This window comes from Homo sapiens, chromosome 12 (assembly GCF_000001405.40).
Source record: "Homo sapiens chromosome 12, GRCh38.p14 Primary Assembly".
Taxonomy (NCBI): domain Eukaryota; kingdom Metazoa; phylum Chordata; class Mammalia; order Primates; family Hominidae; genus Homo; species Homo sapiens.
Window position 1 is genome coordinate 8,531,929 of NC_000012.12, and position 17,974 is coordinate 8,549,902.

General features: G+C 38.4%; 1 protein-coding gene across 3 annotated transcripts; it reads right to left on the reverse strand.

Annotated features, from left to right (window-relative positions):
• Nucleotides 1–1,346: 1,346 nt before the first annotated feature.
• CLEC4E (C-type lectin domain family 4 member E) lies at nucleotides 1,347–8,977 on the reverse strand. Of its 3 annotated transcripts, NM_014358.4 has the most exons (6): nucleotides 8,833–8,977; nucleotides 7,927–8,019; nucleotides 7,289–7,378; nucleotides 5,187–5,338; nucleotides 4,162–4,277; nucleotides 1,377–2,881 (listed from the first exon to the last, which is right to left on the reverse strand). In NM_014358.4, the coding sequence occupies exons 1-6, from the start codon at nucleotides 8,867–8,869 to the stop codon at nucleotides 2,710–2,712; spliced, it is 660 nt and encodes a 219-aa protein (NP_055173.1). In that variant the 5' UTR covers nucleotides 8,870–8,977; the 3' UTR covers nucleotides 1,377–2,709. The 3 variants fall into 3 exon arrangements, with proteins under 3 accessions (NP_001397898.1, NP_055173.1, XP_011518916.1); NM_001410969.1 differs by lacking the exon at nucleotides 5,187–5,338 and having other exon boundaries at nucleotides 1,347–2,881; nucleotides 7,272–7,378; XM_011520614.4 differs by lacking the exon at nucleotides 7,927–8,019.
• Between the last annotated feature and the right edge of the window lie 8,997 nt (nucleotides 8,978–17,974).

The following is a 17,974-nucleotide window of genomic DNA, read 5'->3' on the forward strand; positions in this document are numbered from 1 at the left end:
TGTATTTAACGTAAGTTTTACATGACATGAGAGCCTTCAGAAATGAACACTCAAAAAACAGAGAAATCTATGTAAATTTTGTGCTAAGCCTCATGAAGTGGATAGTTGTGAAAAAAAAAACATGGTTAGACAAAAAGCGATATGATCTAATGATAATAACCTAATGAGACTTAGCAAGGCCTGTTTGTTCAGGTTCTTCTTGGCTTCCCTGTACGACATTCTTTCCTTTTGGGTATAGAGCAGGACACCTGTCATAGGAGAGTGTTCAGAGGAGAAAGGAGGAAGAAGGTCAGAGATGACCTTCCTAGATGCTATGGCCTGCTTCCGGTAAGAAAGGCAAGAGAAAGATGAGAGTGGACTTCCCGTTTTTGCGGTTTTCTCAGTTCCCAAGGTGCCATATTTTGAGGTAGCATTTCCTGCACCCCATTAAAGGCATAAAAAGTTTCCTGGAGTGACGTTCATGATAATTATTACTGCAACGTGGAATTGGAATTTTAAAAATTTTCATCTTTCTATAATTGTGATCTGTAGGAATTTTTGGTAATGAACATGTATCATTTTTACAAAAAATAGTAATTTTTCTTTAAAAAAATTGGGGACCCATATAGTAATATGTAAATCTTAACAGTAGTTTATTTTGGGAATATGCTTTTAAGAATATGTATCATGAATTAATCTACTATTCTTTGAAAATGTCTGGGTTTTCTGGTGCCGAAGGTGGTAAAGTGTTTGTGTAACCCCACTTATAAGATATTATACTTTAAAACAATTTCAATTGGATGATCTACTTCTCAAAAAATAATTTTCCTAATAGATAATTTATGTTCCAATAATCTTTAACCACTAAACCCTTAGCAATTCTTTCTTTTCTTGGCAAACTGTAAAGACAAGTTTAGTTTTATAAACCTGTCTTTAAAACTTGTCTTTAAACTTAAATTCTAAATATATATGGAGAAATAATATGGAATAATATTTCCATATGTCTTTCAATCTAGAAATAAAACTTAAATTATAGCCACCTTCAGGGAAACACCAATGAACAAAAAAAAAGTCTTTCAGCATCTCCTTATTGATGTTCATGATTTTAAAAAAGGGAATTAGAAAGTTGAAAGTATGTTTAAAATTACTTTTAGGTTAAATAATTGGCTTAAAGATGTGTTGATTTGAAAACCAGATTGTCACAATGCCTAAGAGAAATAAACTTTTGCAATGAAAGCTGATGTGTTATATTCACTTGTCCAGTTGAATTTTCTCATTCAGTGATTACACGTGGTGTCCAGTGATTGAATTTTGAGGGTCTCCTCATGGCACTTTGTGCAAGAAACATGGTTATGAAAGCTGCCACGTTATTGATGTACTCTTTAATAACGTCATCAGTATTGGTAGAATTTTATGCAATAAATGAATGGGCTATTACTGGATACATACTCAGAGAAATATAAATCTTTCTACCATAAAGACACATGCACACGAATGTTCATTGCAGCACTATTCACAATAGCAAAAACATGGAATCAATCTAAATGTGAGTCAACAATAGATTGGATAGAGAAAATGTGATACATAGATACCATGGAATACTAAGCAGCCTTAAAAAAGAAGATTATGTCTTTTGTGGGAACATCGGTAGAACTGGAGACCATTATCCTTAGCAAACATGGGAACAGAAAACCAAATACTGCATGTCCTCACTTATAAGTGGGAGCTAAATGATGAGAATTCATAAACACAAAGAAGGGAATAACAGACACTGGAGTCTACTTGAGGGCGGAAGGTAGGAGGAGGGAGAGGAGCCGAAAAAAACAATATTAGGCACTGGGCTTAATACCTGGGTGATGAAATAATCTGTACAACAAACCTCCACGACATGAGTTTACCTATATAAAAAGCCTTTAACATGTACCCCCGAAAGCTAAAATAAAAGTTAAGAAATAATGGATGGGCTTGAGACAGGAAAGTGTGGAGATGAATGTTCGCTTAGAATAAATTGACTATTGGACTCGGGTCCTAGCTGAGCAATAGATACAAAATCTGGTGAGATCCATTCAGTCAATTGAAAATAAGGCAGAGCAAAGGAAGCCCCAGGGATGGGTGGACTTGGTTACAGCCTGTTTGGAGCTGATGGCTGGCATGCCCTTCCCTAAGAAGGTGCAGTGGAGGCCTGTAGCCAGAAAGGCCACACCGGTATTCTGAGCAGGAATAAGTTTCATGACTTGAAGAAGCTTCTTACTCATTATACAGGGGAGTAAAGAGACGATATATGCTTGGGCAGGAGATAAGAACGGTATGAAACCAAGAAGAGAAGACAGACTTGTCAGAAGCTAGAAAGAAGAGGACCTGCTACAGAGCCCGGATTCAGGAGATTTTTGGAAGGCACCTTCCAAAATCCCCTTCTTTGCTAGACTCTGTCTTGGCTCCGTGTCCCTGTACTTTCATACGAACACTAAAAAATGAGGCAAATGTAGCAAAAGGTAGTGAATTGCTTTGTAAATTCTGGGAAGAGGACCTGAGACTAACGTAGAGAGAAAATGCACTTCAGCCAGTAACATGAATTATAACATTTAAAACTACTTATTTTTATTTATATCAGAGTAACAAATACTTATGAAGTCCTTTGAAGTTCAGCGCACAAATTTCTCGTGTGGGGCGGTGGGTGTGGCCATGTTCTTGCTCTTCCTTCTTTACACATTTGAGTTGTGCCTTCTGTTCTTAAAGAGATTTTCCTTTGTTCAAAGGATTTATTCCTACCATTTCACAAATCCGAAAATAATTGAGGAAACAGGTTACATCATTCCAATTTTGCCTTGGGTTTGAAGAGTCTCTCATGGTGGCACAGTCCTCCAGGGTAGCTATGTTGTTGGGCTCCCCTACATCCCAGAAGCTGAAAAAGAATGACATAGGAGACTTAAAATCCCAGCAAAAAGAGGTAAAGTAACCTAATATACTAGGCAAATTACATTTGTGTTATTTAACCTCACAACAATTTTGCGAGGTAGGTATTATAATGTCCATTTTATTGAAGAAGAAAAGGAACCTCAGGAAGCTAAACTAGTTGTCGAAGTCACAGTTTGTGAGTACTGAAGCTGAACCGGATCTTTCTGACTTTCTATTCTGTCCTGTTCCTTTGTTCCTTTTCTATTCTGTCCTGTTCCTTAGCTATAGAATGAGAAGTTATGGGGAAGATTGATATTCTGATAGATTTGTTTTCTTCACACTCATACCTCATATCGGCTTAGCTCTCTTTATTCTGCACAGAGTGTGTATTAACTTAGGTGCATCCTGCAGTGATGTTACAGTGTGGTAGTGAAGCAGCATTTCTAACATGTCAGAGTATCTCTGTTGTACTCTTAGAACTGCTCATTAGCTAAGTCACTTAACTCTGCTGAGTTTTAGTTTCCTCAAATGCTAAATAAAGATTAATAATACTGATACATTCCAAGAAAGTGTAATTTAGGTAAAATGAAATAATAAATGAGAAAAAAAATTAAAAATGCTATGCTCTATCAGGAAGAATACCTAATGGATGCTGGACTTAATACCCGGGTCATGTTATGATTTCTGCAGCAAACCAAACCACCACGGCACACGTTTACCTATGTAACCTGCACATCCTGCACATGTACCCTGGAACTTAAAATAAAAGTTGAAGAAAAGAAAAAAGAAAAAACTCACTCCCTAACAAATCATGAGAATCAACATATATAGCAAAATATTTTATATATCAATTAACCAATCTAACAAAAAAAGCATATCCACAATAAAAAATGCTATGTTCTAATGACGTGAGGCTATTATTAAGGAGAAAAGAGACATTATCAAGAGATTCTCATTTTTCACTGCATAAGAACCTGCTGTCTTTCTCAACTTACTATTTTTTTCCTCATTTCCTTCAGTTTTGGGGAATAAGACTCTTAATTCCACCTCTCGTCTCTTTTGCATTCTCAGTGAATGATTCTTCAGTTCATTTTCATTTATTATTTCCCCTTTATTCTTGAGACAATTCCAGGAAAGGAGAGAAGTGGGTGCTTGTACTTCTCCTTCATCTTTTCTACCTTAGCTCTTCTCTTTCCTGCATTTAATACCACCACCAATAATGGACCTGATCTATTGCAGGTAACAGAAGGAGGTTTCAAGAACTCCTCTCAATAGGAGGGTAATTACCTCAGAGACTTTGTCAAAGGTGTGCCGTCCACCCATTGCCACTGACCCTCGACAACCTGGTCTGACAGTCCAATAAAAAACTCTCTCATTTTAGGTTTCTTGTAGGAAAGGAATTCCTATGGAAGATACAAAATAAAAGGAGATCAGTTATTTTAGTTTTGAATAAACGTTGCTAGTAATTATTATTCAAAGAGGTAAGAATCTGGATGAGATCCTAGCACTTTGGGAGGCCGAGGCGGGTGGATCACCTGAGGTCAGGAGTTCAAGACCAGCTTGACCAACATGGCGAAACCCTGTCTCTACTAAAAGTATAAAAAAATTTGCCAGGCATGGTGGCGGGTGCCTGTAGTCCCAGCTACTTGGGAGGCTGAGGCAGGAGAATCGCTTGAACCTGGGAGGCAGAGGTTGCAGTGAGCCGAGATTGCGCCACTGCACTCCAGCCTGGGCAACACAGCAAGACTCCATCTCAAAAAGTAAAAAAGAATCTGGATGAGAAATAACAGATAAGTGAAACTGTAAGATCATGAGGATTATCTACTGATTTTTTTTTGTGGTAAAATATACATAACATAAAATTAAACTGAAAAAATAACCTTCAACAGAAAAGGAGATCCTCAATAATTCTTTCAAAGTTTATCTACTATTATTGGTGGCCAAATTTATTGAATATATCTAGCGCAAAATATTATTAATCACAGCTTAAAGAAAACGGACAATATTTGCTTCTCTTCTTTCATATAATATGTTCATAAACATAACGATTCGTCTAAAATTAACACTTCCAACCCTCTTTTTCCCCTTGCCTAACTAAAGGAACTCCACATGGAAATTCCCTTTTTCTTAGGTTCTTCTAGGAAGGAAAATAAATTAAGGTAGGCAGTGACTTTACCGAAATAGTAAGAACAGCATGCATTTTAGTACATTCATTAACAATAGTCATTGGGGGTCAAGCACTGTGCATATGTATGAAAAGAGAGGTGGACCATGTCGGGAATGTTACATTGGCATCGGAGGACTCCAGCTACCTGCTCCTCCTGTGAGTTGATAACCACCAGGTGAGCCCCCATGGCTGAGCAGTTCTTTAAACTTAACGCCCAGGAAATGGTGTCAGTAGAAAAGAAGTAGCAGCTGGATTGAAAATATTCCCAGTTCAATGGACAACAATTCTTGACTGAACCTAGGATGAGAGATGTTTCAGTGAGTGTCCCAGGTGAACCGAATAAGAAAACCCAAAGCTTCATCTGGCCCCATGGAGTCCTCATTTAAGTCAGAAGCCTTGGAATCACTTGTTCATACCCTACATCTTAGTATCTAAGACTTTAGATAATTCCAATGTCAAGAAACATAAACAGAATGTTTTTGGTCTTTTGAACGTAATTCTCATTCTCTGGATGTCAGTGCCAGGAAATGCAACTATATATGCAAACTATCTTAGTTATGCTATTGATATAGAACCTTATTATCTGTTCTTAGACTACTAATGTCAGAGAAATTTATGCATTTTATTTGGGTGACCCCCAAAGAGCCATCTCTTATGTTACCTAAACAATGTATCCTCAATCAAATCTCCATACTGTAGTATATAGATGGGTTAGATGTGGGCGGCAAGCCACCCAGGCGCTGAGGCAAGAGACAGAGGACACGAGCTGTTCCAGTATAATAAAATATAAAACAAGAATAGTTATACCAGATATAGATCTTAGATATGATTATATATGAATATCATTAATCATTAGTTTGTAGCAATTACTTTTTATTCCAATATTATAATAATCCTCGCTCTATAATCATAGCCAAGGAAAAACCAGGCCGTACAGAGCTACGAGCTGAGGGGACATAGTGAGGTGTGACCAGAAGACAAGAGTGCGAGCCTTCCGTTATGCCCGGACAGGGCCACCAGAGGGCTCCTTGGTCTAGCGGTGACGCCAGCGTCTGGGAAGACGCCCGTGGCCAGGCAGACAGACTGTGGTCTAGCGGTAGCGTTAAGTGTCAAGGGAAAACACCCGCTACTTAGCAGACAGGAAAAGGGAGTCTTCCTTTCCCTGGGGGAGTTTAGAGAAGACTCTGCTCCTCCACCTCTTGTGGAGGGCCTGACATTAGTCAGGCTTGCCCGCAGTTATCCGGAGGCCTAACCGTCTCCCTGTGATGCTGTGCTTCAGTGGTCACACTCCTAGTCTGCCTTCATGTTCCATCCTGTACACCTGGCTCTGCCTTCTAGATAGCAGTAGTAAATTAGCGAAAGTACTAATAGTCCCTGATATGCAGAAATAATAGCGTAAGCTGTCTTTCTCTCTGTCTCCTCTCCCTCTCTGCCTCGGCTGCCAGGCAGGGAAGGTCCCCCTGTCCAGTGGACACGTGACCCACATGACCTTACCTATCATTGGAGATGACTCACACTCTCTACCCTGCCCCTTTCACCTTGTATCCAATAAATAACAGCGCAGCCAGACATTCGGAGCCACTACCGGTCTCCGCGCATTGGTGGTAGTGGTCCCTTGGGCCCAGCTGCCTTTTCTTTTATCTCTTTGTCTTGTGTCTTTATTTCTACATGCTCTCGTCTCTGGACACAGGGAGAGACCCACCAACCCTGTGGGGCTGGTCCCTACAGTTAGATTTCTTAGAATTACAGAACTTTTGCCTTTGAGGTCTATTATAAATAATTCTTCTAACTTCTCTCAATTTAATGGTGAGAAAATTATAGCTCAGAGAAGGAAGTCACTTTTTTAGTGTCATGTAGCATTTTGCTAGGACTTGCAACAGGATGACATAGAAGAGCATAGAGAGTATATTTGTGAGATATTTATAAATTCTCTACTCCATACGTTTTTTCTCCATCTCATTTTGGAAGTAGGTGAATGAAAAAAAAGGTACACTCCTGGGAATAATACCTTCCACTTCCAGATTTACTGTTCAGACATACCCCTCAAATTTATTCTAAAAGTTTACTATAATGTCCCCAAGACTTTCTGCCCCAATGCTAATTGCATCACCAAATTTCTAGGATTTTACATTTTGCTTTTGAAAAATAAGACCTAATCCAGCTATATCTCACCTGTCCCAAAGTCAATCTAGAAGCCAGAAAATGTTGCTTTGTAAATTTTGATGTTCACCTTTGGGACTATTATACCTGATCCATAATTGTAGCAGGAGAGCTCTGTGAAATTCTCAGGTAGCTGAAACTTTTTCTCATCACAGGTTTGAAAGATGCGAAATGTCACTGTAAAAGAAAGGGCATAATGTTTGTTAGTCTTATTTCGGTTAAAAATGTCAGTTCCCTCAGTTTTGTATTTATAACAAAAGTGCCAATAATTATCATGTTTTTTCTTACAATCTGCTTTTTCTTACGACCCAGAGAAAATAGATATGTTTGCACTACCTCTTATGCCAAGTCCAACTCTCTCTACCCTTCCTTCCAAAAGTAATTAGTCATATCTCTGGTGCCGACCAGTAGTTCAAGCTCTAAGGCAGACTCTCCTAGAGAAGGTTACACTAATGATAGAGGCTGAAAGAGGAGGATTCAGGACTGCCAAGGAAGTGAAAAATGTCTATCATGAAAAGTAAGTCACAGGTGATTAAAATTCAGAAACAGTTCCCTGCTTGTTGAGGTTTCTGGTTTGAGAAATAACCTAGAGATTAATAGGGAAAAAAAAAAGGGTGAAATAGAAAGACCCTTTGAGGGCAAAGAGAGTCTACAGGCAGCATGGAAGAGTTTTCTCCTAATATGCACCAGGAAGAATTAAATTGAATTTGACCTTCAGAACCCACCAACACATCTGGTGATGAAACAGGCACTGAGAAATAGGATGGGGATCCCAGCAACAGTCCATAAGAACATTTGGGAAGAGAAGCATCCTCTCTCTGTAGAAAGAAAGACACAAACATGATCAATCTTCCCTAAGCAAGGTACAAAAGAGATAGAAGAGATTCTTATTCATCCTTACTTATTTCCTTCTACTTCCATTGTTTGTACTGAGTAATTCCCAAATTTCAGCATGCTTCAGAATCACTTGGAGGGTTTATGGAAACACAGATTGCTGACCCTTACCCCCAGAGTTAGCAACTCAGTAGAGTTTGTATGGAACCAACAAGTTCCCAGGGGCTACTGCTGCTGCTGGTCTGAGGACCACACGTTTAGCACCCCTGGAGTAAGACTCTGACTCATGAACTCAGATATACAATTTTTCCTTTCTAAGTCTCTCAGTTAAATTTTTTTCAGTATTTTCTAAGGCCCCCCTTCTTTCTTTTTCTTTCTTTTCCCTTTTCTCGTCTTTGCTTTTCTTGTCCTTCTCCTGATCTTTTTTTTTTTTCTGTGTCTCACTTTTCAAGCGCTTTGTAAATTAGGTAAAATGTTAACAGTCATCTAATAGTTCCTCTCTTCCTCCCATTAAACATTTTACAGACAAAGAGAGTTCCAGAGAAGTGAAGTGACTTGCCAAAAGGGACACAATGTATTGCAGAAAGGGTGGAAACTGATAGCTCTCCCTTAGCTAGAGGCCAGCAGGCTTTCTGGTATAAGAAATAGTCTTTAAATCTCTCTCTCTCTCTTCCTCTGTCCCCCCACTTTTTTTTTTAACTTCAGTGAATACTTTTCTATTGTCCTGTCTTTCACCATATTTATCACTTGTTCCAAAAAGAGATCTATGGAAGGAAAGGAAGAGTTGCAGATTTTACCTGTGCATTGTGTTTCAGATGATTTAGATGAATTCATTTTTTCTCTCTCTTTGGTTTTTTGTTTCTCTCTCTCTCTTTTTCTCTCCCTCCCTCTCTTTCTTTCTCCTCAGGAGTGTTTTGTTGGTAAGATTCAGGGAGAATGAATCTTGAAAGATAAACACTTTGTCTTTTAGGAAGTTCAGCTCCGATAGATGTAGAATATTAACTTGTTCTGTGGCTACGCATTAAGTCAGGATTTCCTTTCTTGCATAAGGAGGACAAGGAAGTTTATTGGACAGCATGTCAGTTCTCTTCACTCCATGTAACAACAAAATGAGGAAATTATGAAATGGTAAGCATCAACACAAATAGGCTAGCCATGGGGAAACAGGAGAGTTTTTTTTTTAAATGTTGTTTCGTTTCGTTGGACCAAATGTCTCTAGTTTCTTCAAGGCATAACTCATCCCCCAGTTTTTCCTTGACAATATGGAGCTCACCTCTGCACTCTGAATTTCACTTTGGATCTGTACCATCCACACATTTGGTAACTGAAAAGAAGACTTAGACAACATAGCACAAAGCTGGGCATATAGTGTATGTATTTAGGACATGGCAACCTGAATTTTTTCATCTTTTTTTTTTTTTTTTTTTTTGAGACAGAGTCTCGCTCTGTCGTCCAGGCTGGAGTGCAGTGGCATGATCTCCGCTCACTGCAAGCTCCGCCTCCCGGGTTCAAGCCATTCTCCTGCCTCAGCCTCCCGAGTAGCTGGGACTACAGGCGCTCGCCACCACGCCTGGCTAATTTTTTGTATTTTTAGCAGAGACGGGGTTTCACTGTGGTCGTCAGGATGGTTTCAATTTCCTGACCTCGTGATCCGCCCGCCTCAGCCTCCCAAAGTCCTGAGATTACAGGCGTGAGCCACCGCGCCCGTCCTCTTTTTCATCTTTTATGGTTTTTCTTTCTTCTTCATTTGCAGCTCTTGAATATTCTAATGTTGTGGATTTATGTCCCTCTTATCTTATGCTGACTACTAGGCTGCTACTACTAGGCTGACTACTAGAGTCCCCCTCAGCAGGACAGCCTCATGTGATTAGACCACTTTGAAACTCAGCTTAGTTTTTCACAACATAACGCAGCTTCTGAAGTCTCAGAGACCCAGCAGGCAGTTTAATTCTCCTGTTCTCAATTATTTGGGGATTTTAGTTCTATGTTACAGCCTACAGTAGGAGAAATGTATTTGAAGGTCAGAAAAAGCAATTTCAATTAGATATTAGAATTTAATGGTTCTCTGGGCCGGGAGCAGTGGCTCATGCCTGTAATTCCAACACTTTGGGAGGCCAAGGTGGGTGGATCATTTGAGGTCAGGAGTTTGAGACCAGCCTGGCCAACATGGTGAAACCCCACCTCTACTAAAAATACAAAAATTAGCCAAGTGTGGTGGCACGCATCTGTAATTCCAGATACTTGAGAGGCTGAGACAGGAGAATAGCTTGATCCTGGGAGGCAGAGGTTGCAGTGAGCCAAAATTGCACCACTGCACTCCAGCCTGGGCGATAGAGTGAGACTCTGTCTCAAAAAAAAAAAAAAAAAAGAATTAATGCTTCTCTGGAAGAATAGTTAGATATGTGCCTTCTCCTTACTTAAAGATACTTAAGAATAAGATCACACTGGTCTCAGTTTATTTAAGTTCACGAGTCAGGAGGCATAAGTATGATGTACATGACTTGGTAAATCCCCACATCCAGTGACTCACGAATTTTCCATGTGTGAGAAAATATTCTTGTTCTCAAAGGGACTTTTTATTATTTCAAGGTACTGGTCAATTTTCTCTGCATTCTCTGTTTTATAGTAATACAATTTTAAAAATATCTTTAAATTATATATGTGTATATTATAGAATATACCCATATTTAATATGTGTATTCTCAGCAAATAGCTTTTGATCAGTAAAAAAAGAGAAACTATCTAGTGGATGAGCTATATGAATTATAAAATGATGAACATAATTACCACAGTCCATCTTTTATTAATTACAATCAACCAGCAACCATCAATATTACTAAACAATTGTATGTTAATTTTTATCAATATACAATTAAACAGAAATCAATAAATTAATATTTTTTCCAGCCAAAATGTTTTTATATCTTTTGTTTCATTGATTTTCCCCAAATTATACGAGTAATATGTTTTATGATTAATACTATGAAAAGCATGTGACAAGTAAAAGCCTTCTTAACTATCCTTAGTGCATTCTTCTAAAGTTGACCATGCTTAATGATTTCTTTTTTGGGGGGGGGGATTAATTTTTATTTATTTTTATTTATCTTTTATTACACTTTAAGCTTTAGGGTACGTGTGCACAACGTGCAGGTTTGTTACATATGCATACATGTGCCATGCTGGTGTGCTGCACCCATTAACTCGTCATTTAGCATTAGGTATATCTCCTAATGCTATCCCTCCCCCCTCCCCCCACCCCACAACAGTCCCCAGAGTGTGATGTTCCCCTTCCTGGGTCCAAGTGTTCTCATTGTTCAATTCCCACCTATGAGTGAGAACATGCGGTGTTTGGTTTTTTGTTCTTGCGATAGTTTGCTGAGAATGATGGTTTCCAGCTTCATCCATGTGCCTACAAAGGACATGAACTCATCATTTTTTATGGCTGCATAGTATTCCATGGTGTATATGTGCCACATTTTCTTAATCCAGTCTATCATTGATGGACATTTGGGTTGGTTCCAAGTCTTTGCTATTGTGAATAGTGCCACAATAAACATACGTGTGCATGTGTCTTTATAGCAGCATGATTTATAATCCTTTGGGTATATACCCAGTAATGGGGTGGCTGGGTCAAATTGTATTTCTAGTTCTAGATCCCTGAGGAATCTCCACACTGACTTCCACAATGGTTGAACTAGTTTACGTCCCACCAACAGTGTAAAAGCATTCCTATTTCTCCACATCCTCTCCAGCACCTGTTGTTCAGCAATAGATTCTTTGATTTCCCTTTTTAAATATCATCCAGGAACTTATCGTCTAAGTCCCTTTTCTAAACTATATTGCCTGTCAATATTTCAGGCAACTGAAAAAGAATCAGTAAAAGCTGTAAACATCTATGCCATACGAGTATTGTTAGTATCTACTTTTCTTTGATGCCAAGAGAAACATCACTCAATTTTAGCCTTGGGGCAGATTTATTTTTTGTCTTTTCATCTAACATGCAATCACTAACTGATCCCAGGGCTGCTGCTTCCCAGGTTGACGGCCAGCCCTTTACCCTTGAACTGCCATCTATCTGTAAGCCACACTGCTGCCTTGACAGCTGACCAGAGAGAGGGGCCTATTCAGCTATAGGTTTAGCCAACTCCTCAGGGGAACCAAATTTATGGTGACCTGTCAGCCACCTGACTGTGCATGCATTGGGTAACCCCATTTCACATTCTTGAGTATCTCCTTTCTATTCAAGGAGGGAATTCTGTGCATTTCATTTCTTGTTGGAATGATGATATGATATAAATAGGATGTTATGAGTTTTCAAATAATTTTATGTCCTTCAGTACAAAAAGCAGTTTCAACTAAAACCCAGTAACAAGCTAGCAATTCCTTTTAAATGGTGCTACTTCAAGCTGCAGCCAGGTAGCTTTTTATTACAAAAATCCCACAGGCAGCCACTAGGTGGCAGTAACAGGCTTTTGCCAGCGGCTCCAGTCAGCATGGCTTGACTGTGTGCTGCAGAAACTTCTTAAATCGTCTGTGTTTGGGACTCGTGGGGCCCCACAGGGCTTTACAAGGGCTTTTTAATTTCCAAAAACATAAAACAAAAAAAAATACAAATGTATTATCTTGCTCAAAACTTCAGTCAAATTTAGCTTTTTTCTTGATAACTTTATTAACAGGGGTATGCCATTTCTCCACCACATTAACAAGCCAACATCTTTGCACCTCTTGCTTTCATTTTGGAGCTGGCAGAGACAATTACTTATTTTTGGTTGTCTGAGGGATGCCTCTCATCTCCCCTGTCCAGGTGATGCCTAAGAATTTTACCATTTCCCCTGGACCCTGTTCTTTAGTTGGGTTAATCAGCCTCATATGATTAACAAGCATTATACAGTAATTCAATCTTTGCTAGATCTTCAAATTGAGTTAATATGACATTAATGCAGTTAATAATATTACTTTCTAATTGATCACATCTAAGTATCTTCTTGCCAAGTGCCGTGATAAAAAGGAGAATTTAAATAACCTTATGGGAACATAGCAAATGTATACTGGAATCCATCCCACATGAATGTGTATTAGCTTTGATTTTCTCCCTAAATAGAGATAGAAAATAAGGTTTTAGGCAAATAGATAACAGAATATTACTGTCTTTTAGCTTTTAGCAAAGCTTGAATTGTGATGCCATCTTGGGTACAGCTGATGCTGTTGGAAGCATGATTTTATTCAGTCCTCTCTAACATACAATTCATCTCCAGGATCCACCAAGTTTTCTTCTAGGCCATACTGGATTATTAAACAGGGAATCTGTGGGCATTAACATGACTGTGTCTAACTTATTCTTAATTAAAGCTGAAATTCTTCCTCCAGCCTATTCTTAATTAAAACTGAACCCCCCATCCTATATTGTTTTAAAATAATCATTTGAATGTGCTTAAGCAATTCTAAGGGTTCCCATCTAGCAGGTCCAATTAAAAACAGGATGAAGAGAAGATTGGCAGTCTTTTCCAATGGTTTGGGTAAGGAAAGAGTCCGCCATTCAGACATCATGCTCATTTTTAAAATATATTCTAGTTGGACTGAGACAAAATCATACATTAATTTCATTCATAAATACCGTACTAATATGAGGGACTTGAGAATCCACAGGTTTTGGTATTCAAAGCAGGGTCCTCAAACCAATCCCCCACTGATACCAAGGGATGATTGTATCTACTTCTGGCCATACTATCACCTGCAAGTTTTCTGTATTTAATTATATTTCCCTTTCACTTTTCATTGGCAGGTTTAGGTGTGACAGTAGATTAAGTACCAATGTCCAGCAATCCAATAATGTTTCTTCATCATCCCTTACCATTTTACTCATACTGATGCGTATGGCCTTATGTCTTCTGCTGGGGATTGTGCCAAGAGACATTGGACCACATGTCACTCACCTTCCTCATAATCCTCTCCTTTACTTTGTACTGTTTTAGTCTGCACTGACTCTGAAGAGATTATGTATGTATATATATACATACATACATATATATACACACATATACATATATAGAGAGAGCATGTGTGTGTGTGTGTAATCATCAGATTTTAAAATTCAGGTTAGGACAAATTGAACAAGTCTGTTGTGTAACCTCTTAAAGTTTGAGGAGCTGGTGGGACAGCCGAACAACCTAATCTCTCACAGTGATCCATTAACATTTTAGTACTTCCCCCATCTATCTCCTCCCCTTTCACGCCACTTAAAAAATATTAGAAATAACTTTTAAACTACATTTTAAATTTTGGAATAGTTTCAGATACATAGAAAAATTGTCACTATAATACACTGTACAGAAAGTCCCTATATGGCCCACATCCAGTTTCCCAATTATTAACATCTTACTTTAATATGGCACATTTGTCATAATTAGTGAACTAGCATTGGTGTATTATTATTAACTAAAGTCCTTTATTCAAATTTTCTTAGTTTTTGCCTATTTTTTTTTCTGTTCCAGGATTCCATCCAGGATCCTTGGCTATGACAGTTTCCCAGACTTTCCTTGTTTCTGATGACTTTGACAGTTTTCAGGAGTACTGGTTGGGTCAGGTATTTTGTAAAATGTTCCTCGATTGGGGTTGGTCTGATGGTTTTTCATGATTAGGCTAGGTTTATGGGTTTGGGAAGGAAGACCACAAAAGCAAGTGCCATTCTCATCGCAGAGTATCAAGGGTACCTACTATCAATACGACATCATGGTTAATGTGAACCTTGAACACTCGACTGAGGCAGTATCTGTCAGGTTTCCTCACTCTTGTCTCTCTTTTTAAATTGTGCTCTTTAGCAGGAAGTCACTATACATGGCTCATATTTAGGGTGTGGGGAGTTATGCTCTACTTCCTTAAAAGTGAAATAGCTACACAAATTATTTGGAATTCTTCTGTATGAGAAAGGAGATTTGTCTATTTTCCCACATTTACTCATTTATTCATTTATTGACATCAGTATAGACTCATGGATATTTGTTTTACAGTTGGTTTGTAATCCAATGCTACATTATTTATTTTGTTGTTCAAGTTGTTCCAGCTTTGGACTGGGAGCTCTTTTGATTGGCTTCTGTGTCCCTTTGACATATGCCCATCATTGCATTTGAGCATTTTCTTACTTTCTGCCACTATAAGATGCTTCAGTCTCTTCTCATATATGTTCTGTTCCAGTCCTAGAATCATCCATTTTGTCAAGGATCTCTGGTATCTTTTTGGAGACTAGTATTAGAAACAAAGATCTCAGTGCTAAGTATTTCATGCCATTTGAAATCAACCATCTGCACACTTCACTCAATATAACTGTCCCCATATTTTTCCACTTTGTTTACTCTTATTGTTCCCTTTCTTCTTAATAATTGAAACCTCCCTATCATTAAGCTCATTCTCAGGAGCTGAGCAAGGAGATCCCTGACAGCTTCCCCTACATCACGGGGTCTTTCCAACAATAAATCAAATAAGGTGCCCAAGCAGCAAAAGCACTTTTATCACAGCATCAGTTATCACCTGGGTGGGGAGGGTGGGGCATAGAGTTATGAAAAAGCTTAGCATAATTATATAAGGACTCCAAAATTTCTCACATTTTTAACATTTCAGCAGCCTCAAAAAAAGTATTTCCGTTAATATTTGCTTTTCAAATGGCACTATTAAAAAAAGAAAATGAAAAGATAAGCGCCACACAGGGAGAAAATATTTGCAAATTACATATTTAATAAAGAACTTGTACCTAGAATATATAAAGAACTCTTAGAACTCAATAAGAAGAATGTAAACAATGCCATTTTTAAAATGAGAAAAAGACTTGAACTAGACACTTCAAGAAAGATATACTGCTGACAAATAAGTACATGAAAAGAAGCTCTACATCATTAGTTGCCAGGGAAAGCAAATCAAAACAATAATGAGATTTCACCATGTATCTATTAGAATGCGTAATTTAAAAGTTTGGCCATTCCAAGTGTTGGAAAGGATGTAGAGCAACTGAACTCTCACATGTTGTTGCTGGGAGTGTAAAATGGTACAACCACTTTGCAAAACCATCTGATGGTCTCTTAAAAAGTTAAACATACACCTAAAATTATATATACACATGACCCATTCCTTTCATTCCTGGGTATTTACCCCCCAAAAAGATAATTTCATTTCTGGTGATATGCCCTCTAATACTTACTTACCTAACTGCAGCAAAATATGAAGCATCCTGTTGAGATATTGGTGCCGAGGGATAATAGAACATTCGTTAATCCAAGTCCTTGGATGACTTTATGGAACACAGCTTTATGCCACCTCCTACCCCTAACTCATGTTGGATATGTAGTGTGAGCAAGAAATACATTTCCTATGGTTTTAAGCCACTGAGACTTTGAAGTTATTTGTTGCCACAGCATAGACATACCTGTTGAATACAGTTACTATGCTGGAAGAGTTTCTCACTTCTCACTATTTTTTCACAATGTTTCCTGAGATTTAGTTTGCTTTCCTCCCCTTTCTCCCTTTTGACTTTTTCTCTCTTTTCTGTTCTGGTAATCACCACTTCCTCATACCTTCCATCTTACCCTCTTATGCACTCTGGTTATTCTCCATCTTTGTCATCCTTCTACATGCATGCAGTCATTTCCTATGATATCACAACCAGTTAAGCTACCAAGGCCTATCACTGGGGGCAAATGTGGAGGTGTTGCTGAAGAAGAAGATGGGTAAGAGAAACAAGTAAGTTACTTTCTCCATCTTGCTGTGATTTATTAGAGAACAAGTTAGATTCAGAGTCCATACTCAGTCATCATTCAAAATCAATCATTGATTGAGAGTAAAAATACCTAAGTATCCAAACCACTTATGAGCTAACAATCAATCTACCCTAGCCCAATGTACTTCAGTGCAATAAGGTGTATTCTCCTTAAAAGAGATAAGAAGGGATATATAGAAGTGAAAATAAATGCTATACTGTTATAACAAAAATATACATCAATACAGAGGACTAATTAAGATAAAAATGTTATTTTTCCTTAAGACTAATGATATGTGTAGCAGGTCTAGACTGGCTAGGTAGCTTTGCTCCACAAGGTAATTCAGGGATTCAGGTTCCCTCCACCTTGTAGTTCTGCCATCTCTCCTTAATCTATTCTGGGAAAGAATTAAGCCCTAATGTCCCATGCATTTATTTTATGTGATGTGATGCATTAACTTATTTTCCATGCACATAAAGTAGTAGCAACTATGTACTGTTCTTGAGAGAATTGAGAAAATGGTCACTCAGATAATTTTCCTAAGGGAATTCTTTGGGAGCCATGTTGAGAAAGGCCACCTTAATGCATTTTGTCTTACTGGTCAAAGCACAGTCATTGCCATGTCCAGCCCACAGGAAACTGAAATAGAAGAAAGCAGGACAAACTCTTTCCTTTTAGGAAAAGATTATATTTGTTTCTCTACTAAGATATTGTAAAGCACTCAATCATAAAATGGGGTCTATACCTGGGTGGCCGACTGTCAAGAAGAAGGAAAAATGGATTTTGGAATATAACCAACAGTCTACCACAGAATTGGTCATTGGTGGGGTGGGGGGCGGGGGGGCAGGGTCAGATTACACATTGTGAGAAGTCTCCCATCTGGAAGGAATCTTTTACTGTGATGACTTCACACTGGTTCTATTCACAACTTTCTTGGCTCCTTCTCTCACTCAATCTAGCAGTCAGGTCCTGAGAATAACATTTTTGTTTAATCGCGAACCCTATTATATTTCTCTGTTCAGAAAAGTTGAACGATCATACTGACACATCCAAGACAATAGGCTTTGAAGCAGTTTCCAGGAATTTAGTTGCTATTGCACCCCACAGTGTTTATCATCATCTAATACATATTTTACCAACTGATTTTGATTATTGATTGTCTCTTCCAACTAGAATGCAAACTCTGGGCCAGGCG